The sequence below is a fragment of the Homo sapiens genome, chromosome 17, assembly GCF_000001405.40.
Source record: "Homo sapiens chromosome 17, GRCh38.p14 Primary Assembly".
Classification (NCBI taxonomy): domain Eukaryota; kingdom Metazoa; phylum Chordata; class Mammalia; order Primates; family Hominidae; genus Homo; species Homo sapiens.
In genome coordinates, this window is record NC_000017.11 from 82,496,405 (window position 1) to 82,520,497 (window position 24,093).

The window sequence follows — 24,093 nt, forward strand, 5'->3', positions numbered from 1 at the left end:
AGGCTTGCTGATGAGGTATGTGGATGGACTTCTTGCAACAGGCCCAGAAGTTGAGAAGAGATGGTCCCTACTCTTCTGGGTGTACGAAGCAATCTAAACATGACGGCCAGACTCTCCAGCCACCTTAGTGATGCTTGTTTTATGGCCTCGGACCAAAATGGTCATGAGAACACGGAAGGAGGGCACGCCCAGGCTTCTTTCTTCGTCAAGCCTGCCCGGGCAAGGGCTCCTGCTAAAATATTTTAGCGACCAACCACACATCGCAATACTAGTGGGGTGGGGCAGCCCGCACCTGGTGACAGGTGGCCTCACTCATCCTTCTGTGGAAGGCGCAGGGGCCAGGCCGGAAAAGACCCTGAGGCTGGACCTGGTCGTATCTGCGTCCCTGCAGGAACCCACTGTCGCTGCCCCTGCACGACGCCCGCCAGCCCACGATGGCAGCAACAGGTGATGGGCCCGTGCAGGTGGGAAACCGATTTTCCTCTCAGCCGCTCGCCCTCCGGAGGCAGCTGGCCCAAAAGAGGGGCATCGGGCGTCCTCCTCCACACAGCCTTAGAGGGGGAGGTCGGCACCAGCATCTTTCCCACGCTCCTGGCAGATGCGCCCACGGCTTCTACCCGGGATGCCCGAGCGTCAGTCGGGCCAGCGCCAGCCGCGCGCGCCGGAAGCGTTTGCTCGTGCAGATCCCCGGCGCGGAAGCCCGACTACGAAGCTGCGGCATCGCAGGCGCCGCCTCAGGTCCCCACCCGCTTCCCCCCGGGTTTGCGGACGGAGCTGGCGCCTCTGAAGGCGGAGGCGAGGGCCCCGCTCCTTGACCGTTCTTGCTCCTCCGCGGGAGCCGCCGGCCGTCACGTGGGAGGTCACGTGGGTGGTTTGTCAACTGCTCGCAGACGCCTTCGCGCGCAGCCCCGGCCCTCACGGGAGTGCGCAGTCCGAGCATGCGCAGCAGGAGGCGCGAGTTGTCCTCCACAGCGCGGCGGGGCGGGAGACCTCCCTCCCACCCAGACCCCGCCGGCCTCCCTCCCACTCAGACCCCGCCGGCCTCCCTCCCACCCCCGCCGACCTCCCTCCCACCCAGACCCCGCCGGCCTCCCTCCCACCCACCCAGACCCCGCCGCCCTCCCTCGGCGCTCGGGACAGGCTCGGGACGCTGGGGCCGCGTCCGAGCACGTGAGGGCTGAGCAGCCCGCGCCTCTCCTTAGGAAACCCAGTGAGACGCTGGGTATTCGAATGTGGTCGCCGGGGAACGGGCGGCGCCCACACCCCCCGCGCTCGGAGAACTCCCCAGTCCCGCCTGAAACGAACGCGGTGCCCTAAAGTGCGGGCTGCAGGCTCTGCCGCTTGACGCGGCGATGATTGAAGGTGCTGCTTTTAGGAGAGAATAGAAAGGGCCTTCTTTCCTTTCCCCCGGTGGATGTAAACGTGCTTGTTATTATGGGGCATTTAGAAAAGCTTCTGTCCACTGTGTATTCTCTTTGGCAACGCTCTAGACACTTTGAGGGTTGCTGTCAGATCTGGCCCAACCTCTCCTATGTGACGGGAAGGATTTCAGGCATTTCAAGTGCCCCGCGCAGTGACTGGCCCGGAATTCCGCGCGTCTTCCCGGTAGCGTTTTTCCTTTGTCTTTGGTAGAGGACTGGGGGTGGGTGGGGGGGTGGGTCTCACACTGTTGCTCACGCTGGTCTCGAACTCCTGAGCTCCGTGGATCCTCCCGCCTCGGCCTCCTACGCGCTGGGAGTGCAGGTGTGAGCAACCCCGCCCGGCCCAGAGCGGCTTAATACCAGCTTTCCAGCGTTGTGATTTCCGGAGAAACGCAGGCTGACTTCCATGTTTACTATTCACTCTTCTTCACTAATGACACCACGTACATTCTGTTCGTGATTTCTGTGTGACTCAAGTCCACAAATCCTTCGTGTGCTATGCGGAGCCTTTGTGATTGTTGAGGGTTCTCAAGATACTCACTGATGGGGCCGGGCGCGGTAGCCCATGCCTGTAATCCCAGCACTTTGGGAGGCCGAGGCGGGTGGATCACAAGATCAAGAGATCGAGACCATCCTGGCCAACATGGTGAAACCCCGTCTCTACTAAAAATACAAAAATTAGCCGGGCGTGGTGGTGTGTGCCTGTAATCCCAGCTATCGGGAGGCTGAGGCAGGAGAATCACTTGAACCTGGGAGGCGGAGGTTACAGTGAGCCGAGATCGTGCCACTGCCCTCCAGCCTGAGTGACAGTGAGACTCTGTCTCAAAAAAAAAAAAAAAAAAAAAAACCGGTATTCATTTATGTAAAAGACTCCCTGATGTAGGTAATGTCGGTCTGGTTTAAAAACCTATACAACCAAACAACATAGGCAATGTTTAGTCTTAGGAAAGACTAACCAACATCAGGTGGCAGTTTTTCTGTTTAAAAAAACCTATTTTGGCCGGGAGTGGTGTTTCACCCCTGTAATCCTAGCACTTTGAGAGGCCTACGTGGACAGATTGCCTGAGTTCAGGAGTTCAAGACCAGCCTGGACAACATGGTGAAACCCCGCCTGTACTAAAATACAAAAAATTAGCGCGGCGTGGTGGCGCCTGTAATCCCAGCTACTCGAGAGGCTGAGGCAGGAGAATCGCTTGAACCCGGGAGGCGGAGCTTCAGTGAGCCGAGATGGTGCCATTGGACTCCAGCCTGGGTGACAGAGCGAGACTCTGTCTCCAAAAAAAAAAATGGTTTCAAAATGTTTTGAGAAGCATCTGTTTTGTCTGATGTGTTTTAGTTGATTAAGTGCAAGTTGCAGGATCGGAATCTTGAACAATAAATCTTCCACTAAAAAGTGTTGAGTGGAATTACTGCTCGTCGTAACAGGTGTAATGAGACAGCGTGGTACTGAAACCAGCAAATTTGTGGGTGTGTCTGTGGCCAGCCCAGTGTGTGTCCTGCTGACTGGACCAGCTGTGGTTTTCCTGTCTGTGACCTTCAGCTCCCTTCTGCATCTTTGCTTTCTGTTTGGTGTGTTCTCTCATAATGTCTGTATCGTCATTTTCATTCTCCATATTTTTTTAGTTACGACGATTCTTTTCCTTCATGGTTTTGACCATTAGTGTTTTTAATTTCTGTTGTGATACAGTACTTTGTCTTGAGCTCCACAATTGTGTAATAAAATAACAATACACTGGCCGGATGCGGTGGCTCACGCCTGTAATCCCAGTACTTTGGGAGGCTGAGGTGGGCGGATCACGAGGTCAGGAGATCGAGACCATCCTGGCTAACACAATGAAACCCCATCTCTACTAAAAATACAAAAAATTCACCGGGCGCGGTGGCTCACGCCTGTAATCCCAGCACTTTGGGAGGCCAAGGCAGGCGGATCGTGAGGTCAGGAGATCAAGACCATCCTGGCTAACGTGGTGAAACCCCGTCTCTACTAAAAATACAAAAAATTAGCTGGGTGTGGTGGTGGATGCCTGTAGTTCCAGCTACTTGGGAGGCTGAGGCAGGAGAATGGCGTGAACCCGGGAGGCGGAGCTTGCAGTGAGCCCAGATCACGCCACTGCACTCCAGCCTGGGCGACAGAGCGAGGCTCCGTCTCAAAAAAAAAAAAAAAAAAATACAAAAATTTAGCCGGGCATGGTGGCATGCGCCTGTCGTCCCAGCTACTCGGGAGGCTGAAGCAGGAGAATCGCTTGAACCTAGGAAGTGGAGGTTGCAGTGAGCAGAGATCATGTCACTGCACTCCAGCCTGGGCGACAGACAGAGACTCCATCAATAAATAAACAAAATAACAATACACCACACATACTGACTTGCGAGTGTGTGAAGGGGTTCTGTCCTGAGAACACACATCTCTTCAGCTACTTTTGCTGTGTTATTAGCAATTTGTGTGTTATTTCTTCTGGAACTTCCAGAATTTCTCAGGACAATTGCATATGTTTCAGATGTGCAAAGCCTTGATGTGACTTCACACTCCAGGGATCACAGTTGGTGCTGCCACAGGCGTGTGCCCTGCAAGCACAGGCATTCCAAGAAATGGTTCACTGCAGCAAAATTTCTGCTGTGGGGCAGGGACCAGCTCCATAGAATCTGCCCTCCAGGAGGGATTTCCCATCCTGACCAGCATTCAAGAGTAGGTTCTCTGCTCACACTATGGGAGTCAGATGTTCGGAGAATGTTCCAGACTGTGTGTTGGGAAGTATTTCAAAGCTTGATCTCCCCAAGCCTTGTGTGCTCCTCTTGCCTGGGGCTAGTGGTCAGGAGCCCCGTGGGTCAATTTCTGGCCAGGTGAGCACGTGGCAGCTGGCCATAGCATAGCTGGGTCGAAGGGACTGCAGAGCCCAGCACAACCCCCATGCCTCCTCCAGTGCTTCCCCAGGAGGCAGGGTGGACACTGCCCTACCTGGGGCCCTATGGCTGGGCCTCAGATCTTCCCAGCCAGCCTCTTTGGCCAGGTGAACTCAAACTCCTGGACTCCAGGGATCATCCCACCTCAGCCTCGTGAGTAGCTGGGACTACAGGCATGAGCCACTGTGCCCAGCCAAAAAAAAAATTTTTTTTTTTTTTTTGAGAGGGAGTCTTACTCTGTCGCCCAAGCTGGAGTGCAGTGGTGTGATCTCGGCTCACTGCAACTTCCACCTCCCAGGTTGAAGCGATTCTCCTGCCTCAGCCTCCCGAGTAGCTGGGATTACAGGTGCTCACCACCACGCCCGGCTAATTTTTGTATTTTTAGTAGAGACGAGGTTTCACCGTGTTGGCCAGGCTGGTCTCGAACTCCTGACCTCAAATGATCCACCCTCCTCGGCCTCCCAAAGTGCTAGGATTACAGGCATAAGCCACTGCGCCCAGCCAAAAGATTTTTCTAAAATTATGGCTGTGGAGGTGTGGAGTCACTGGTAGCAGGAGCAAGAGGTGTAGACTTGATCATGCAGTGTTGGCAATAGCCAGTGGAGACCTGGGTCCCAGGTCCTGCCTCCCCACCCTCTACCTCCACCCCCAGTGGAGGCAAAGACCTTGACTCTCAGTCTCCAGCTTTCTTCCCTCTACCAAGTCCCCTAGCCTGGACACTCACATTCTCTGATTCTGTAGACAGCGGGGACTAAAAAACCTGTGCTGTGATCATGGTTAGTCAACCCATGAAAAGATGCACAGGCCGGGCACGGTGGCTCTCGCCTGCAACCCCAGGACTTCGGGAGGCCAAGGCTGGCGGATCACTTCAGGCCAGGAGTTTGAGACCAGACTGGGCAGCATGGCAAAACCGCATCTGTACAAAAAATACAAAATTTAGCCGAGCGTGGTGGTGCACACCTGTAGTCCCAGCTACTTGGGAGGCTGAGGTGGGAGGACTGCTTGAACCTGGGAGGTTGAGGCTGCAGTATGCCGAGATCGTACCACTACTACACTCCAGCCAGGGTGACAGAGTAAGACCATGTCTCCAAAAAAAAAAGATACCCAGCATAACACCACAATGAGATGCCACCACGTACCCACTGGAGTGACTGTGATGAAAGAAAAGGGTGGTCATGGCCGGGTGCGGTGGCTCACCCCTGTAACCCCAGCACTTTGGGAGGCTGAGGCGGGCGGATCACCTGAGGTCAGGAGCTCGAGACCAGTCTGGCAACATGGTGAAACCCCGTCTCTATTAAAAATACAAAAATTAGCTGGGCTTGGTAGTGGGTGCCTGTAATCCCAGCTACTCGGGAGGTTGAGGCAGGAGAATCGCTTGAACTCAGGAGGCAGAGGTTGCAGTGAGCTGAGATTGCACCACTGCCCTCCAGCCTGGGCAACAAGAGCAAAACTCCATCTCAAAAAAAAAGAAGTGTGGTCATGCCAAGAGTTGGGAAGAGCAAGTGGGACCCTGCTACATGGCTGGCGGGGTACAGAATGGGGCAGTCACTTTGGAAAGGTTTGGCAGTTTCTTAACATTTGTCCAAGGAGCACTGGCGATTTTGTTGAAGAATGGTGTTAGGAATCAACATCTGGGCACTGGCCGTGCACGTTGCTACTGGAATGTCATCATTTCTCGGCATCTCAGGGGACTGAGCCAGGAAACGTGTGTGCACTTGGCCCGTGTACGCAGGCATGTCTAGAACTGTTTGGTTTCTTTCTTTTTCTTTTTTTTTTAGAGACAGGATCTCATTTTGTCACCCAGGCCAGGCTGCAGTGGTGTGATCTCAGCTCACTGCAGCCAGCCTCAAACTCCTGGGCTCAAGTGAGCTCCTCCCTCAGCCTCCCAAGTAGCTGAGACTACAGGCACGTGTCACCATGCTCGGCTAATTAAAAACAAACTTTTTTTGGTAAAGACAGTGTCTGGCCAGGGGCGGTGGCTCACGCCTGTAATCCCAGCACTTTGGGAGGCCGAGGTGGGTGGATCACGAGGTCAGGAGATCGAGACCATCCTGGCTAACATGGTGAAACCCCATCTCTACTAAAATACAAAAAATTAGCCGGGCATGCTGTCGGGCACCTGTAGTCCCAGCTACTCAGGAGGCTGAGGCAGGAGAATGGCGTGAACCCGGGAGGCGGAGCTTGCAGTGAGCTGAGATCGCGCCACTGCACTCCAGCCTGGGCAACGGAGCGAGACTCCGTCTCAAAAAAAAAAAAAAAAAAAAAAAGACAGCATCTTACTTTGTCGGCCAGGCTGGTCTCAAACTCCTGGGCTGAAGTGATCCTCTACCTTGGCCTCTCAAAGTGCTGGGATTACAGGCGTGAGCCACCACGCCCAGCAGAGGGATTTTCATCTTGATTCTCTGTGCTTCACAGAAGCTCAGAATAGGTTTTTGCACGAGTCAGTGAATAGTAACTGCTTGGAACGTTAATTTTTTGTGAAATTTCTCCAGCCTGATTCTGCATGTGACAAGTGCTGACCCTGATCCCAAGCCCCACTCAGAGCTCAGAGTCTGTTGGGGAGAATGTGTGTGTAAATAAATGACTGTCCCAGACTCTCAGCTGCAGAGGTGATGCTAGGCAGGGCAGCCACTCAGGAGAAGCAGTAACCCTCACTGTGCAGTAGTAGGTGGTCGGGTGGCTGACGGAGGGGCTGTGGGAGCAGGTCTTGCAGGCTGGTGGGCGGGGTCATGAGCTGAGGCGCACAGGTGGGCAGGGGGCCTGGGGAATGGGGCTGGCAGTGTGTGAGGAATTTGGGTGCAGGTCCCGGGTGATGATGACCCAAGTCACGGCTGCTTTCCCCCTGGCCTCATGAAGGTGGGGTCTGTGCCCCTCTGCTCAAGTGGGCCCTGGAATCCGGCCCAGTGCCCAGCATGAGAATGGAGGAGGGAAGTGTCCTGGACGAGCAAATGAGTACATGGCAGCCCTGAGCTTTGGAGCCTAGGAGGTGGGAGGAACAGGGACGCCACCACAAACGCGAAGCATCCGCAGGAGCACCCGGGGGTGCAGGTTCTGGGGAGCGGAGGCCCCGAGCTGAGGTGACACGGGCCGCTCCGTTTAAAAACAGCCTTTCACTGTCAAGCTAGAGTCTGTCCGACTGTCTGTGTGCTGCATGTGGATCTGTTTTTCCATGTGAGCTTTGGGGAACACCAGTTTGAGCACAGAGATTCAGAAGGGCAGCCCAGACCACCAGGCTGAAGCAGCTAGAGAACTCTGTACGTGGTCACCAGGGGACGCCTGGCGCTGCGAGGGAGGCCCCGAGCCTCGTGCCCCCGTGAAGCTTCAGCTCCCCTCCCCGGCTGTCCTTGAGGCTCTTCTCACACTCAGATGCACGTGGCTCAGAACACAGAGGTTGCAGGGGAGCTCCTGCTGCGCCTGCCTGCACTCCAGGACACATCCTGAGGAGGCTCTTCCAGACACGGTGCATTCACTTAGAAGGTCAATTTGTGTAACCTGAATATGACTGGAGTTCATCTGTGTGCCTCCTAGGACACAGCTAAAATTGGGACACTGGGGTCAGCCTCCTCCTGGTCCCTTGGAGGGCACACGTTACGAACAGGTTCTCCAGCTCCAGGAGCTCCTGAAGGTCTGCGGAGAAGTTCAGGTGCAGGAGGCCTCAAAACCATAGTTCCTTTCAGATCCAGTTAATATCAATAAATTTAAACATTTTCTTTTCCAAGCAAGATGGCTAATGCCTGTAATCCCAGCACTTTGGGAGGCCGAGGCAAGCGGATCACTTGAGCCCAGGAGTTCAACTCTAGCCTATGCAACACAGTGAGAACTCATCTCTACAAATTATAAAAATAAACAACATTGTCTTAGTATATTCTTTTAAAAATAGGTATTATGAGATTTATCGCTGAAGCTCTCATTTGTTTAAAGTGAAATTCAACTAGAAATATATGTATTATTCGGCCGGGCGCGGTGGCTCACCCCTGTAATCCAAGTACTTTGGGAGGCCGAGGCGGGCGGATCACAAGGTCAGAAGATCAAGACCATCCTGGCTAACACAGTGAAACCCCGTCTCTACTAAAAATACAAAAAATTAGCCAGGCACAGTGGCGGGCGCCTGTAGTCCCAGCTACTCGGGAGGCTGAGGCAGGAGAATGGCGTGAACCCGGGAGGCAGAGCTTGCAATGAGCCGAGATAGTACCACTGCACTCCAGCCTGGGCAACAGAGCGAGACTCTGTCTCAAAAAAGAAAAAGAAATATATGTATTATTTATCTATAAATCTCACTTGTTCCTGAAATCTGGTGAGATTTAAAAGATCTCACTGGCCAGTTGCAGTGGCTCACGCCTGTAGTCCCAGCACTTTGGGAGGCCAAGGCAGGAGGATCACTTTAGCTCAGGAGTTTGAGAGCAGCCTGGTCAACGTGGTAAAACCCTGTTTCTACTAAAAATACAAAAAAAGAAATTAGCTGGCTGTGGTGGCGGCGCCTGTAATAGGAGGCTGAGGCAGGAGAGTCGCTTGATCCCAGGAAGCAGAGGTTGCAGTGAGCCAAGGTCATGTCCTTGCACTCCAGCCAGGGCAACAAGAGCAAAACTCCATCTCAAATAAATAAATAAAGAAATAAAAATAAAACATTTACCAATTTTTAACTTTTTAATTTTTATGTATTTATTTTTTTGAGATGGATGGCTGACTTAGTCCATTTTGTGTTGCTATAACAATACTGGAGACTGGGTAGTTTATAAAGAAAAGAGGTTGATGTAGCTCGTGGTTCTGCAGGCTGGGAAGTTCAAGGGCATGGCCCTGGTTACTGGTGAGGGCTTTTTGCTCATTTTTTTTTTTTTGAGATGGAGTCTCGCTCTGTTGCCACCCAGGCTGGAGTGCAATGGCGTGATCTCAACTCACTGCAACCTCTGCCTCCCGGGTTCAAGCGATTATCTTGCCTCGGCCTCCCAAGTAGCTGGGATTACAGGTGCCTGCCACCGTGCCCAGCTAATTTTTGTGTTTTTAGTAGAGATGAGGTTTTGCCATGTTGGGTAGGCTGGTCTCAAACTCCTGACCTCAGGTGGTCCACCTGCCTCGGCCTCCCAAAGTGCTGGGATTACAGGCGTGAGCCACCGCACCCAGCCTATTTTTTATTTTATTTTATTTATTATTATTATTATTATTATTATTATTATTATTATTATTATTATTTTGAGACAGAGTCTCACTCTGTCGCCCAGGCTGGAGTGCAGTGGTGCCATCTCGGCTCACTGCAACCTCTGCCTCCCAGGTTCAAGCGATTCTCCTGCCTCAGCCTCTGGGGTAGCTGGGACTACAGGCATGTGCCAACGCAGCCAGCTAATTTTTTGTATTTTTAGTAGAGATGGGGTTTCACCGTATTAGCCAAGAGGGTCTAAATCTCCTGACCTCATGATCTGCCTGCCTTGGCCTCCCAAAGTGTTGGGATTACAGGCGTGAGCTACTGCACCTGGCCCTATTATTATTATTATTATTATTATTTTGTTTTTGAGATAGAGTCTTGCTCTGTCACCCAGGCTGGAGTGCAGTGGCACGATCTCAGCTCACCACAACCTCCACCTCCTGGGTTCAAGCAATTTTTCTCCCTCAGCCTCCTGAGTAGCTGGGACTACAGGCACGCACCACCACGACCAGCTAATTTTTGTATTTTTAGTAGAGACAGGGTTTCACTATGTTGGTCAGGCTGGTTTCAAACTCCTGACCTCGTAATCCGCCCACCTTGGCCTCCCAAAGTGCTGGGATTACATATGTGAGCCACCGCGCCCGGCCTGTTTTATTTTATTGTTTGTTTTGTTTTCTAAGAGACGAGGTCTCACTCTGCTGCCCAGGCTAGAGTGCAGTGGCACAATCATAGCTCACTGCAGGCTTGAACTGGCCTCAGTGATCCTCCCACCTCATCCTCCCGAGTAGCTGGAACTACTGACTGGCTCCACTGCACCTGGCCTTCCTGTGGTTTTAATTTGCATTTCCCTGATGACTAATGACATTGAACATCTTCTTTTGTGTTTATTGGCTATTTATATATATTCTCTTGTGAGGTAGCTTTTCAAGTCTCTTGCCTATTTTGAAAATTAAGTTGTCTTTTCATTACGGAGTTACAGGAGTTTTTAAAAATTCCGCTTAGATACTTTTGTCAGATACATGTACTGTGAATATTTTCTCAATGTGTGGCTCATGTTTTCATATTTTTCATTGTTTTGATGAGCAAAATGTATTTTTTCTTATAAAATTATCATTTTTTTCTTTTATAGTTATCACTTTTTAGGTCTTAAGAAAATTTTTCCTATCTCAAAGGAACAAAGACAGTCTCCTATGTTTTTTTTTTAATTTTTAAAAAACTTTTTACTTTTTTAGAGATGGAGTCTCTCCCTGTCACCCAGGCTGGATTGCAATGGCGCGATTTCAGCTCACTGCTAACTTCACCTCCCAGGTTCAAGCGATTCTCCTGCCTCAGCCTCCCAAGTAGCTGGAATTACAGGCACCCGCCATCATGCCCAGCTAATTTTTATATTTTTATAGAGATGAGGTTTCACCATGTTGGCCAGGCTGGTCTTGAACTCTTGACCTCAGGTGATCCGCCCACCTTGGCCTCCCCAAAGTGCTGGGATTACAGGTGTGAGCCACCATGCCCAACCAACAGTCTCCTATGTTTTATTTTTGGGAGCTTGATAATTTTAGCCTTTGCATATAGGTCCATCTGAATTTTATTTTTATGTATGGCATAAGGCAGGGATTAGTGCTTTTGTTGTTATTATTATTGTTAAAACAAGCCCAATTTTCCTATAGAACTGTTTACAGTGTTTTGTTTTGTTTTGTTTGGCTAAGCATAGACATTGACCCTCTTGGTCTTGAAGCTTGAGAAAATTAACATTTGTTTTATCTGAGTTCTTTTCTTTGGAATCCAATCCTCAGGCCTTCCAGATAGTATCGGGGAGCTGAAACTTTCCAGAACACTAAATCCGACCACCCCCAGCAGCCTGTTGACCACCTCTTCTTCCTTACTCCTCCCTACTTCCTAATTTCCCACCCATAGTTACCTTCCTTCCCTGCTATCTAAAACCCTAACTTCAGTGGGTTGGGGAAGTGGATTTGAGACTGGTCTCCCGTCACCTGCTGACATCACGACATCACTTGCAATAAAGCCTTCTTCCCTGGCAATACTCGTTGTCTCCATGATTGGCTTTCCATTTGGTGAGCAACTGGACTTGGCCGAACCCCTGGCATTGGGCAACATTGGTAATCAGATACCCTGTACTGTTTATTCAACAGACTTTGCTTTCCCTATTGAACAACCTTGGCACTATTGTCAAAAATCAATTGACTCTGTATATGGGGGTCTATTTCTGGATTTTTCATGCTGTTCCACTGATCTAGTTCTTTTCTTTTTTTCTTTCTTTCTTTTTTTTTTTTTTTGAGACAGAGTCCCACTCTGTCGCCCAGGCTAGAGTGCAATGGCGCAATCTCGGCTCACTGCGACCTCCCCCTCCCAGGTTCAAGCGATTCTCCTGCTTCAGCCACCTGAGTAGCTGGGATTACCGGCGTGCACCACCACGCCTGGCTAATTTTTGTATTTTTAGTAGAGACGGGGTTTCACCATGTTGGTCAGGCTGGTCTTGAACTCCTGACCTCGTGATCCACCTGCCTCAGCCTACCAAAGTGCTGGGATTACAGGCATGAGCCCCTGTGCCTGGGCTCACTGAGCTAGTTCTTATACCAGTATTATTATACCATTCTTTTACCAGTATTCCACAATTTTAATTACTATAGCTTTACATTAACTCTTAAAATTGGGTGCTGTACTTTGGGAGACTGAGGCGGGGGGATCACAAGGTCAGGAGATCAAGACCATCCTGGCTAATACGGTGAAACTCCATCTCTACTAAAAATACAAAAAAATGGCCGGATGCAGTGGCTCACGCCTGTAATCCCAGCACTTTGGGAGGCCAAGGCAGGTGGATCACGAGGTCAGGAGATCGAGACCATCCTGGCTAACACGGTGAAACCCCGTCTCTACTAAAAATACAAAAAATTAGCCGGGCGTGGTGGAGGGCACCTGTAGTCCCAGCTACTCGGGAGGATGAGGCAGGAGAACGGCGTGAACCTGGGAGGTAGAGCTTGCAGTGAGCCGAGATCACACCACTGCACTCCAGCCTGGGCGACAGAGCGAGACTCCCTCTCAAAACAAAAACAAAAACAAACAAAAAACAAACAACAACAACAACAAAAACAAAAACAAAAAAATGAGCTGGTGGCCGGGCACAGTGGCTCACACCTGTAATCCCAGCACTTTGGGAGGCCAAGGCAGGCAGATCACGAGGTCAGGAGATAGACCATCCTGGCTAACATGGTGAAACCTCATCTCTACTAAAAATATAAAACAATTAGCCGGGCACTGTGGCGGGCCCCTGTAGTCCCAGCTACTCGGGAGGCTGAGGCAGGAGAATCACTTGAACCCGGGAGGCAGAGGTTGCAGTGAGCCGATATTGCGCCACTGCACTCCAGCCTGGGTGACAGAGCAAGACTCTGTCTCAATTAAAAAAAAAAAAAAAAAGTAGTCCAGGTGTGGTGGCTCATACCTATAATCCCAGCATTACTTTGGGAGACTGAGGCGGGAGGATTGCTTGAGCACAGGAGTTCAAGACCAGCCTGGGCAATATAGTGAGACCCCATCTCTACAAAATTTTTTTTTTTTTTTTTTTTGAGAGGAAGTCTGGCTCTGTCACCCAGGCTGGAGTGCAGTGGCGCAATCTCGGCTCACTGCAAGCTCCGCCTCCCGGGTTCACGCCATTCTCCTGCCTCAGCCTCCTGAGTAGCTGGGACTACAGGCACCTGCCACCATGCCCGGCTAATATTTTTGTATTTTTTAGTAGAGACGGGGTTTCACCGTGTTAGCCAGGATGGTCTCAATCTCCTGACCTCGTGATCCGCCCGCCTTGGCCTCCCAAAGTGCTGGGATTACAGGCGTGGGCCGCCGCTCCCGGCCTCTACGAAAAATTTTAAAAATAGCTGGGCATATGGTGGGCACTTGTGGTCCCAGCTACTTGGCAGGCTTGAGCCCAGGAGTTCTAGGATACAGTGAGCTATTACCATGCCACTGCATTCCAGCCTTGGTAAGAGAGAGAGACCCTCTGCTAAAAAATAATAATAAGGCCAGGCACTGTGGCTTATGCCTATAATCCTGGCACTTTGGGAGGGTGAAGCAGGTAGATCACTGGAGCCTACGAGTTCAAGACCTGGACAACATACCAAGATCCTGTCTCTACAAAAAAAAAAATACAAAAATTAGCTGGGTATGGTGGTGTGCTCCTATAGTCCTAGCTATTCAGGAAGCTGAGGTAGGAGGATCACTTGAGCCCAGGAGGCGCAGGCTGCAGTGAGCCATGATTGCACCACTGCACTCCAGCCTGGGTGACAGAGTGAGACTGTCTAAAATAATAATAATGGGCCGGGTGCGGTGGCTCACGCCTGTAATCCCAGCACTTTGGGAGGCCGAGGCGGGTGGACCACGAGGTCAGGAGATTGAGATCATTCTGGCTAACTGGGTGAAACACCGTCTTTACTAAAAATACCAAAAAATTAGCTGGGTGTGGTGGCGCGCGCCTGTAGTCCCAGCTACTCGGGACGCCGAGGCAGGAGAATCGCTTGAACCCAGGAGGCCGAGGTTGCAGTGAGCCCAGGTCGTGCCACTGTGCTCCAGCCTGGGTAACAGAGTGAGACTCTGTCTCAAAAAAAAAAAAAAATTTTTTTTTTGCTTGAAGCATTCATTCAGTAATCTTTAAAATAATTATTTTTATTTTATTTTTTATTTTTTGAGACAGGATCTTGCTCTGTGACCAGGCTGGAGTATAGTGGTGCGATCTCGGCTCAATGCAGCCTTCACTTCCCACATTCCAGCGATCGTCCCTCCCACCTCAGCCTCCCGAGCAGCTGGGACCACAGGCGCTGCCACCATGCCCAGCAATTTTTTTTTTTTTTTTTTTTTAGTAGAGATGGCATTTCGCCATGTTGCCCAGGCTGGTCTCAAACTCCTAAACTTAAACAATCCACACACCTTGGCCTCCCAAAGTACTGAGATTACAGGCATGGGGCGCCGTATGGCCAATTATTATTATTATTATTTTTGAGACGGAGTCTCACTCTGTCGCCCAGGCTGGAGTGCAGTGGCATGAACTGGGTTCACTGCAGCCTCCGCCTCCGAGGTTCAAGTGATTCTCCTGCTTGAGCCTCCCAAGTAGCTGGGATTACAGGTGCCCGCCATCACACCCAGCTAATGTTTGTATTTTTAGTAGAGATGGGGTTTCACCACGTTGGGCAGGCTGGTCTTGAACTCCTGACCTCAAATGATCCACCTGCCTCGGCCTCCCAAAGTGCTGGGATTACAGGTGTGAGCCACTGTGCCCAGCCTATTATTATTATTATTTGAGACAGTGTTGCTTTGTCACCCAGGCTGGAGTGCAGTGGTGTGATCACTGTTCACTGCAGTCTCCACCTCTAAGGCTCAAGTGATCCTCCTGCCTCAGCCTCCTGAGTAGCTGGGATTACAGGTGTTACCTGTGGTTGTCCAGGTTCTTGGCGTTTTGAACAAAGAATCGGACAAAACGCACAGCAAAGCAAGGATAGAATGAAGCAGACGTTGATTGAAAATGAAAGTACACTCCACAGGGTGGGGGCGCCCAAGTAGCAGCTCGAGGGCCGTGGTTACAGAATCTTCTGGGGTCCAGTACCCCTTAGAGGTTCTCCATTGGCCACTTGGTGTACACTCCACGCAAATGAAGTAGCAGCCTGTGATCAGTTTGATCTGTTTCGGAAAGCAACCAATCAGAAGGACTTCCAATTTTCCATCTGCCACGCAGAAAGCAGGGAAGGGTTTGCAAAGGGAGTAGCCTCTGGTCCTTTTGTTACTCAGGTGTGGGAAGTTGGGGTTTTACTTTTGATTTAGTTCTAGGAAGTCAGCATGAATCAGCCTTAGGTTCCCTGCCTCCGTCCCCTATTCTTCTGCCTCACAGGCACACGCCACCACACCTGGCTTTCTATTTTTTTAGAAATGGGATCTCACTATGTTGTCCAGGCTGGTCTCAAAGTCCTGGGCTCAAGCAATCCTCCTGCCTCGGCCTACCAAAGTGCCAAGATTATAGGCATGAGCCACTGTGCCTGGTCTAAATAAATTATTTTTGGCTGGGCACGGTGGCTCATACCTGTAATCCCAGCACTTTGGGAGGCCAAGGTGGGCAGATCACAAGGTCAAGAGATCCAGACCATCCTGGCCAACATGGTGAAACCACGTCTCTACTAAAAATACAAAAATTACCTAGGCACGGTGGCGTGCAACTGTAGTCCCAGCTACTTGGGAGGCTGAGGCAGGAGAATTGCTTGAACTCGGGAGGCAGAGGTTGCAGTGAACTGAGATCGCACCACTGCACTCCAGCCTGGCAACAGAGCGAGACTCCATCTCAAAAACAACAACAACAGCAAAACTCTTTTATAGTTACCCACATAGCCACTTTCCCAGGCGTTCTTTATTTCTTGGTGCAGCACTGGGATTCCACTGGAGATCATTTTCCTCTGGTCTGAAGCATTTCTGTTTGTTGGCTGGCCGTGGTGGCTCATGCCTGTAATCCCAGCACTTTGGGAGGCTAAGGTGGAAGGATCACTCTAGACCAGCTTGGGCAACATAGTGAGACCTCGTCCCTATAAAAAATAAAAAATAGGCCAGGTGTAGTGGCTCACGTCTGTAATCCCAGCACTTTGGGAGGCCGAGGCGAGCGGATCACGAGGTCAGGATATTGAGACCATCCTGGCTAACATGGTGAAACCCCGTCTCTACTAAAAATACAAAAAAAAAATTAGCTGGGCGTGGTGGCAGGCGCCTGTAGTCCCAGCTACGGGAGGCTGACGCAGGAGAATGGCGTGAACCCAGGAGGCAGAGCTTGCAGTCAGCCGAGTGAGCCACTGCACTCCAGCCTGGGCAACAGAGCGAGACTCTTGTCTCAAAAAAAAAATAAAAGGGCTGGGTGCGGTGGCTCATGCCTGTACTCCCAGCACTTTGGGAGGCCGAGGCGGGCAGATCACGAGGTCAGGAGTTTGAGACCAGCCTGACCAACATGGTGAAACCCTGTCTCTACTAAAAACACAAAAATTAGCCAGGCGTGGTGGCAGGTGCCTGTAATCCCAGCTACTCAGGAGGCTGAGGCAGGAGAATCGCTTGAACCTGGGAGGCGGAGGTTGCAGTGAGTCGAGATCATGCCATTGCACTCCAGCCTGGGCGACAAGAGCGAGACTCCATGATAAAAAATAAATTAAAAAACAAAAAAAGGAATAAATTATATAATAATTTCTGTTAGTATTTTTTTGAAGGCTGAATCTTCTGGTGATAATTTTCAGCTTTTGTTGATCTGAAAATTTCTTTCATTACCGTTCCTTAATTTTTTCTTTTTTCTTTTTAATAGAGACGAGGTCTCACTATGTTGCCCAGGCTGGTCTTCAACTCCTGAGCTTAGGTGATCCTCTCACCTCAGCCTCCCAAAGTGCTAGGATTACAGGAGTGAGCCACTGCACCTGGCCACCTTTCCTTAATTTTTATTTTTTTTGAGGCAGAGTTTTGCTCTTGTCGCCCAGACTAGAGTGCAGTGGCACAATCTCTGCTCACTGCAACCTCCGCCTCCCAGGTTCAAGTGATTCTCCTGCCTCAGCTTCCCAAATAGCTGGGGTTACAGGTGTGCACCACCACGCCTGGCTAATTTTTGTATTTTTAGTAGAGATGGAGTTTCACCATGTTGGGCAAGCTGGTCTCGAACTCTTGACCTCAGGTGATCCACCCACCTCGGCCTCCCAAAGTGCTGGGATTAAAGGCCACTGCGCCTAGCCAATTTTTTTTATTTTTATTTTTGAGATGGAGTTTTGCACTGTTGCCCAGGCTGGAGTTCAGTGGTGCGATCTCGGCTCACTGCAAGCTCTGCCTCCTGGGTTCACACCATTCTCCTGCCTCAGCCTCCCGAGTAGCTGGGACTACAGGCACCCACCACTACGCCCGGCTAATTTTTTTGTGTGTTTTTAGTAGAGACGGGGTTTCACCATGTTAGCCAGGATGGCCTCTATCTCCTGACCTCATGATCCACCCGCCTTGGCCTCCCAAAGTGCTGGGATTACAGGCGTAATCCCAGGCGCGCCCAGCCATGCCCAGCCAATTTTTGAAGAACATTTTTGTTAGATATTCAATTCTGATCTCAATGACTTTGTTTTACTCTTAGCATTTTACGGATGTCAGTTCTTTGTTTTCTGGCTTCCATGGCTTTCGATGAGAAGTCAGCTGTCATTCTTATTGATGCCTCCATGAATGTATTGTACCTTTTTTTTTTTCAGACGGAGTTTCCCTCTTTTTGACCAGACTGGAGTGCAATGGTGCGATCTCGGCTCACTGCAACCTCTGCCTCCCAGGTTCAAGCGATTCTCCTGTCTCAGCCTCCCAAATAGCTGGGATTACAGGCATGCACCACCAGGCCCGGCTAATTTTGTATTTTTAGTAGAGACAGGGTTTTTCCATGTTGGTCAGGCTGGTCTTGAACTCCTGACCTCAGGTGATCCACCCGCCTCGGCCTCCCAAAGTGCTGGGATTATAGGCGTGAGCCACCGCGCCCGGCCGAATGTAATGTACCTTTTAAAGTCTGCCTCTTTTTAGGACTTTTCTCATTATCGTTGGTTTTCAGCAGTTGGACTATGATATGCTTTTATGTATTTTTCTTTGACTGTATCTTTTTGGGAGTTTGCTGAGCTGTTTGGATCTGTGGGTTGGTATATTTTCACCAATGTATAAACTTCTTACATATTATCTCTTTAAATATTTCCTCTGCTCTATTTTCTTTCTCCCTACTTCTTGGCAGTCAAATTTCACATTTATTCAACCATTTGATCTTGTCCCACAGGTCTCTAATATTCATTTCTGTTTTCTTTTTTTCTCATTTTCCTTCTTTCTTTTTATCTTGGAATTTTGATTCAGATTATTTCAACCGATGTAACTTTGAGATGAAAAATCTTGTCTTCAGCTGTTTCCAGTTTGGTGTTTAGATAATTCGATAAATTCTCCATTTCATATATTTTAGCTTTTTCTTTATACTGGTGAACTTAACACTAGTAAAGTTTACACACCCCCTAATCCTAAAGCCCTTACTCCTAAGGTGTTCCCTTTCTGGGGTCTCAACTGAGTGCCCAGGTTGGACCAAGATGCTTTACCTTTGCTGCCGTGTATCCCAGTCCTGTGTCCTCTGCGATCGCTTTTCAACTCCCTTGTAACAGCAGCAATCAAAAGAGGTTCAAAAATCAGAGTTAGGTTGTTGTAATAAAACTTCCTCTCGTTCTATTTATTTCTATGTATACATTAATGAAATAACAGGGATAATATTTATATACACCTGCCTCATTATAGCAATAAGCACTTTTCATCAGTGGATACATGAGTGAATTGTCAGCGGGGAAAAGCTCCAGACATGTTATTAAAAGATATGTCTCCAATGTAATTCAATTTTTTGGTCTTAATAAAAATTTACAGGCTGGGCACGGTGGCTCACCCCTGTAATCCCAGCGCTTGAGGAGGCTGAGGCGGATGGATCGCCGGAGCTCAGGACTTCGACACCAGCATGGGCAATATTGCAAAACCCCATCTCTGAAAAAATTCAAAAATTAGCTGGGCATAGTGGTGCACACACCTGTAATCCCACCACCACGCCCGGTATATTTTTAGTACAGACAGGGTTTCTCTGTGTTGGTCAGGCTGGTCTTGAACTCCCAACCTCAGGTGATCTGCCTGCCTCGGCCTCCCAAAGTGCTGGAATTATAGGCGTGAGCCACTGCACCTGGCCCTAATTTTTGTTTTTGTTTTTGTTCTTGTTTGAGACAGAGTCTTGCTTTGTTGCCCAGGCTGGAGTGCAGTGGTGAGATCTCAGCTCACTGCAAGCTCCGCCTCCCAGGTTCACGCCATTCTCCTGCCTCAGCCTCCCAAGTAGCTGGGACTACAGGCACCTGCCACCACACCCGGCTAATTTTTTGTATTTTTAAAAGAGACAAGGTTTCACCGTGTTAGCCAGGATGACCTCGATCTCCTGACCTCATGATCCGCCCGCCTCGGCCTCCCAAAGTGCTGGGATTACAGGCGTGAACCACTGTGCCCGGCCAATTTTTGTATTTTTAGTGGAGATGGGGTTTCACCATATTGGCCAGGATGGTCTCCATCTATTGACCTTGTGATCTGCCCACCTGGGCCTCCCACAGTGCTGGGATTACAGGTGTGAGCCACCATGCCTGGCCTGCCCATCTTTTTTTGTTGTTCTTTTTTTCTTTTCTTTTTTTTTTGAGACAAAGTCTCACTCTGTCACCCAGGCTGGAGTGCGGTGGCACGATCTTGGCTCACCGCAACCACCGCCTCCTAGTTAAAGCAATTCTCCTGCCTCAGCCTCCTGAGTAGCTGGGATTACAAGCATGCGCCACCACGCCCAGCTGATTTTTTGTATTTTTAGTAGAGACAGGGTTTCACCATGTTGGGCAGGCTGGTCTTGAATTCCTGACCTTTAGTGATCCGCCTGCCTCGGCCTCCCAAAAGTGCTGAGATTACATGTGTGAGCCACCACACCCGGCCTGTTTTTTTTTTTTTTTTTTGGTTAAATGATACACTTCCTATTTATCATTTCCATAGTCATCTCAATGTCCCCTAAAATCCCTCTAATATGGCCGGGCACGGTGGCTTACACCTGTAATCCTGGCACTTTGGGAGGCCAAGGCGGGCGGATCACTGGAGGTCAGGAGTTCGAGACCAGCCTGGCCAATATGGTGAAAACCCGTCTCTACTAAAAATATAAAAATTAGCTGGGTGTGGTGGCACACGCCTGTAATCCCAGCTACTCGGGAGGCTGAGGCAGGAGAATCGCTTGAACCCAGGAGGCGGAGGTTACAGTGAGTAGAGATTGGGCCACCGCACTCCAGCCTGGGCAACAGGGTGAGACTGTCTCAAAAAAAAAAAAAAAAGGAAAAGAAAAAAAAATTCCTCTAATATATAAGTGAATATTTAATGAAACAATTTTTTCTGTCTAGGAAATCCTGCCAGAACACTTTGCACCTGTAGGAATTTGTACTATAATTACAAACACATATATGGCAATTAAGACATGTAAATGTAGGTCGGGCATGGTGGCTCACGCCTGTAATCCCAGCACTTTGGGAGGCCCAGGCAAGTGGATCACGAGGTCAATAGATCGAGACAATCCTGGCCAACAGGGTGAAACCTCGTCTACTAAAAATACAAAATTAGCCAGGCGTGGTGGTGAGCACCTGTAATCCCAGCTACTTGGGAGGCTGAGGCAGGAGAATCACTTGAACCTGGGAGGTGGAGGTTGCAGTGAGCCAAGATCGCACCATTGCACTCCAGCCTGGGCAACAAGGGCAAAACTCCACTCAAAAAAAAAAAAAAAAAAAAAAAAGACATGTAAATGTTACATTCAGAGGGACACATTAATTTCCATTTCTTTTAGAAAAAGTTTTTACACATTGAAGGAATAAAAATGCATGAACTGACCCTGATGTCTCCTGCCTGGGGCCCCCAGTTGGTGGTTCCTGTTCAGGATCTCCACTTTATCCTGCTCCGTTTAAGTCCAGTCTCAAGTCTTTCTACTCACACTAAACTCCTTTTGTACCTACATTATGATGATGATGATTATTTTCGAGACAGAGTCTGGCTTTGTCACCCAGGCTGGAATGCAGTGGTGCAATCTCCGCTTGCTTACTGCAATTTCCGCCTCCCGCGTTTAAGCGATTCTCCTGCCTCAGCCTCTCAAGTAGCTGGGATTATAGGCACGTGCCACCACACCCAGCTAATATTTGTATTTTTAGTAGATATGTGGATTCACCATGTTGGCCAGGCTGGTCTCCAACTTCTAACCTCAAGTGATCCACCCACCTCGGCCTCCCAAAGTGTTGGGATTCAGTCATGAGCCACCGTGCCAGGCCTCTGTACCTAAATTATATCATTTCTCTCTTCTAATTGTTCTTTGCTATTTAACAAGCAGCAAATAGAGGAACCCTGGGGTGTTTGCTATAACCTGTATATATAGGCTATAATAGGATCTTCTCCTCACACACCCTGCAGGAACCACCATGCTGAAAGAAGTGAGACAATTCAGGGGGCAGTCCCTCCCCAGCAGAGACTAAATTGGTACCATTTGTTGCTATTTCAGTTTTGCGAAGATGCGCGCTTGGAGCCCAAGCCATGGTTTCTAGGGCTGACACTGACTTCCCACGGAATTCTTCCTGTTTAAGAGGTTGTAGACTTTTCATGATCCTGAACCTTGAACGTCTCCACAACTGGTTAAGTACCCGTGAGATACATTTACAGGATTTTTTCTTTCTTTTCCCAATTTTTTTTTTTTTTTTTTTTTTTGAGACGGAGTCTCCTCTGTCACCCAGGCTGGAGGGCAGTGGCGTGATGTCTGCTCACCACAACCTCCGCCTCCCAGGTTCGAGCGATTCTACTGCCTCAGCCTCCCAAGTAGCTGGGACTGCAGGCACGCCCCACCATGCCTGGCTAATTTTTGTATTTTTAGTAGAGACGGGCTTTTACTATGTTGGGCAGGCTGGTCTTGAACTCCTGACCTTGTGATCCACCCGCCTCGGCTTCCCAAAGCACTGGGATTACAGGTGTGAGCCACCGCGCCCGGCCACAGGATTTTTTCTTTTTAATGTTAGGAGTTTCATTGATTAGTGAACATCTGGACTATTGATCATCTTGATTTAGATGGGATCTTGTAATTTTTTAAACGGTGGCGAAATTCTTTTTTTAAAAACTTAGTATCAGATTGGTTAAGATATTAACTATTCGTTCATGAGAGTTCATATATATATAGTTCATATATATATAGTTCATATATGTATATAGTTCATATATATAGTTCATATATATATAGTTCATATATATATAGTTCATATATATATATATAGTTCACATATATATAGTTCATATATATACATATGAGACGTAGTTTCACTCTTGTTGCCCAGACTGAAGTGCAGTGACGCGATCTCGGCTTACTGCAACCTCCACCTCCCAGGTTGAAGCAATTCTCCTGCCTCCGCCTCCCAGGTTTAAGCAATTCTCCTGCCTCAGCCTCCTGAGTAGCTAGGACTACAGGTGTGCACCACCACACCCGGCTATTTTTTTTTTTTTTTTTGTATTTTTAGTAGAGCTGGGATTTCACCATGTTGGCTAGGCTGGTCTCGAACTCCTGACCTCAGGTGATCCGCTCGCCTCGGCCTCCCAAAGTGCTGGGCTTACAGGCGTGAGCCACCGCGCCCGGCCTCGTGTATATTTTTAAACTGTGTGCTGACGACAGTTAAGTAAATGTGATTCAGAACTTCTGCGTATTTTGCAGGACAGTTTTGACACAATGACATGACTCGCTAGCCAGGAAAGATAACGACATCCAGTCCTGGAGCTGCTGGTTAAAAACGAACGTGTCACCGGGTCCCCTGGGTCTGAGGCCACGCGGCACGCGGCCCCTCCGCGATATTCCCGCACCTCGCGGGGAAAAGGCCGCTCGGCGGCCGGGCCTGGGCTCGCGGGCCGCCGCCTATCCGCACCCCGGCGTCCACGCCGGGTTGGGGGCCGCTGCGTGCCTGGCGCCCGCTGTGACCTTGGGCCTGGTCCCGCCCGCCGCGCCTAAGGCGCTGCCAGGCCGGGCTCAGACCCCCGAGCTCCCGCGCCCGCGCCAACCCCGCGCCAGCCCCGATCCCGCGCGGGCTGCCGACTGTCCGCCCCGGGTTTTCCGCGGCGCCCGGAGTCGGGACTGCGTCGGGCGTCGCCGCCGGACGTGCCGGCAGCTTGGTGCGACGTGTCTTGCCATTGGCCTGCTTCGGTAGCCCCACTGCCGTACGCCGCCCCCATTGGCCGGCGTAACCGTCCGTCAGCGAGGGGCGGGCCCGGCGTGCCGGCTCGGTGGCGCGGCCGCGCGTGCTCCCGCCCCTCGCCGCCGCTCGCTCGCTCGCCGGCCGGCGGCCTCCGCTCGGCCCCCTCCCTCAGCTCCGGTGCGCGGCGGCCGACGACCCGCGCGGCCTGGGCCTCGGCCCGCGCCACCGGCGCCCGCGCGGAGCGGCCCGGGGGCCCTCACGCAGGCCCATGGCGGCGGCCGCGGCGGCGCTCTCGGGCGCGGGCACGCCACCCGCGGGCGGCGGGGCCGGGGGCGGCGGGGCCGGGGGCGGCGGGTCCCCGCCGGGCGGCTGGGCCGTGGCGCGCCTGGAGGGCCGCGAGTTCGAGTATCTGATGAAGAAGCGCTCGGTGACCATCGGCCGCAACTCGTCGCAGGGCTCGGTGGACGTGAGCATGGGCCACTCGAGCTTCATCTCCCGGCGCCACCTCGAGATCTTCACGCCCCCGGGCGGCGGCGGCCATGGCGGGGCCGCTCCGGAGCTGCCGCCCGCGCAGCCCAGGCCCGACGCCGGCGGCGACTTCTACCTGCGCTGCTTGGGCAAGAACGGGGTATTCGTGGACGGCGTGTTCCAGAGGCGCGGGGCGCCGCCGCTGCAGCTGCCGCGCGTGTGAGTGGCCTCGGGGCGGGGCGGGCGGGGTCTGCGGCCTGCAGCGCCTGGCAGGACGGGACGGGACACGCGCCCAGGCCCGGGACCACCCACGAGCGGGGGCCCGACTCTCCCACAGCCGGGACCACCAGCGGGACCCAGGCCCCGGCTGGATCCCAACCCTCGACAGCCCCTGGCCCCGACCCCCGTC

At 51.0% G+C, this 24,093-nt stretch overlaps 1 protein-coding gene across 3 annotated transcripts in view, besides 2 other annotated features; it reads left to right on the forward strand.

Annotated features, from left to right (window-relative positions):
• Positions 22,748–23,407: a silencer, noted in NCBI's record as "silent region_9216". NCBI's record gives its function as "represses an Ori minimal core promoter by ATAC-STARR-seq in GM12878 lymphoblastoid cells {active_cell/tissue: GM12878}" and the evidence as "EXISTENCE:reporter gene assay evidence [ECO:0000049][PMID:35858748]".
• FOXK2 (forkhead box K2) overlaps positions 23,328–24,093 on the forward strand; it is an 84,871-nt gene continuing 84,105 nt past the window's right edge. For all 3 annotated transcript variants that reach the window (NM_004514.4, XM_047435919.1, XM_047435920.1), the window contains exon 1: positions 23,328–23,903. In NM_004514.4, coding sequence (NP_004505.2) covers positions 23,485–23,903 — 419 coding nt within the window. In that variant the 5' untranslated portion in view covers positions 23,328–23,484. The remainder of the gene's footprint in view (positions 23,904–24,093) is intronic.
• Positions 23,858–24,037: a silencer, noted in NCBI's record as "silent region_9217". NCBI's record gives its function as "represses an Ori minimal core promoter by ATAC-STARR-seq in GM12878 lymphoblastoid cells {active_cell/tissue: GM12878}" and the evidence as "EXISTENCE:reporter gene assay evidence [ECO:0000049][PMID:35858748]".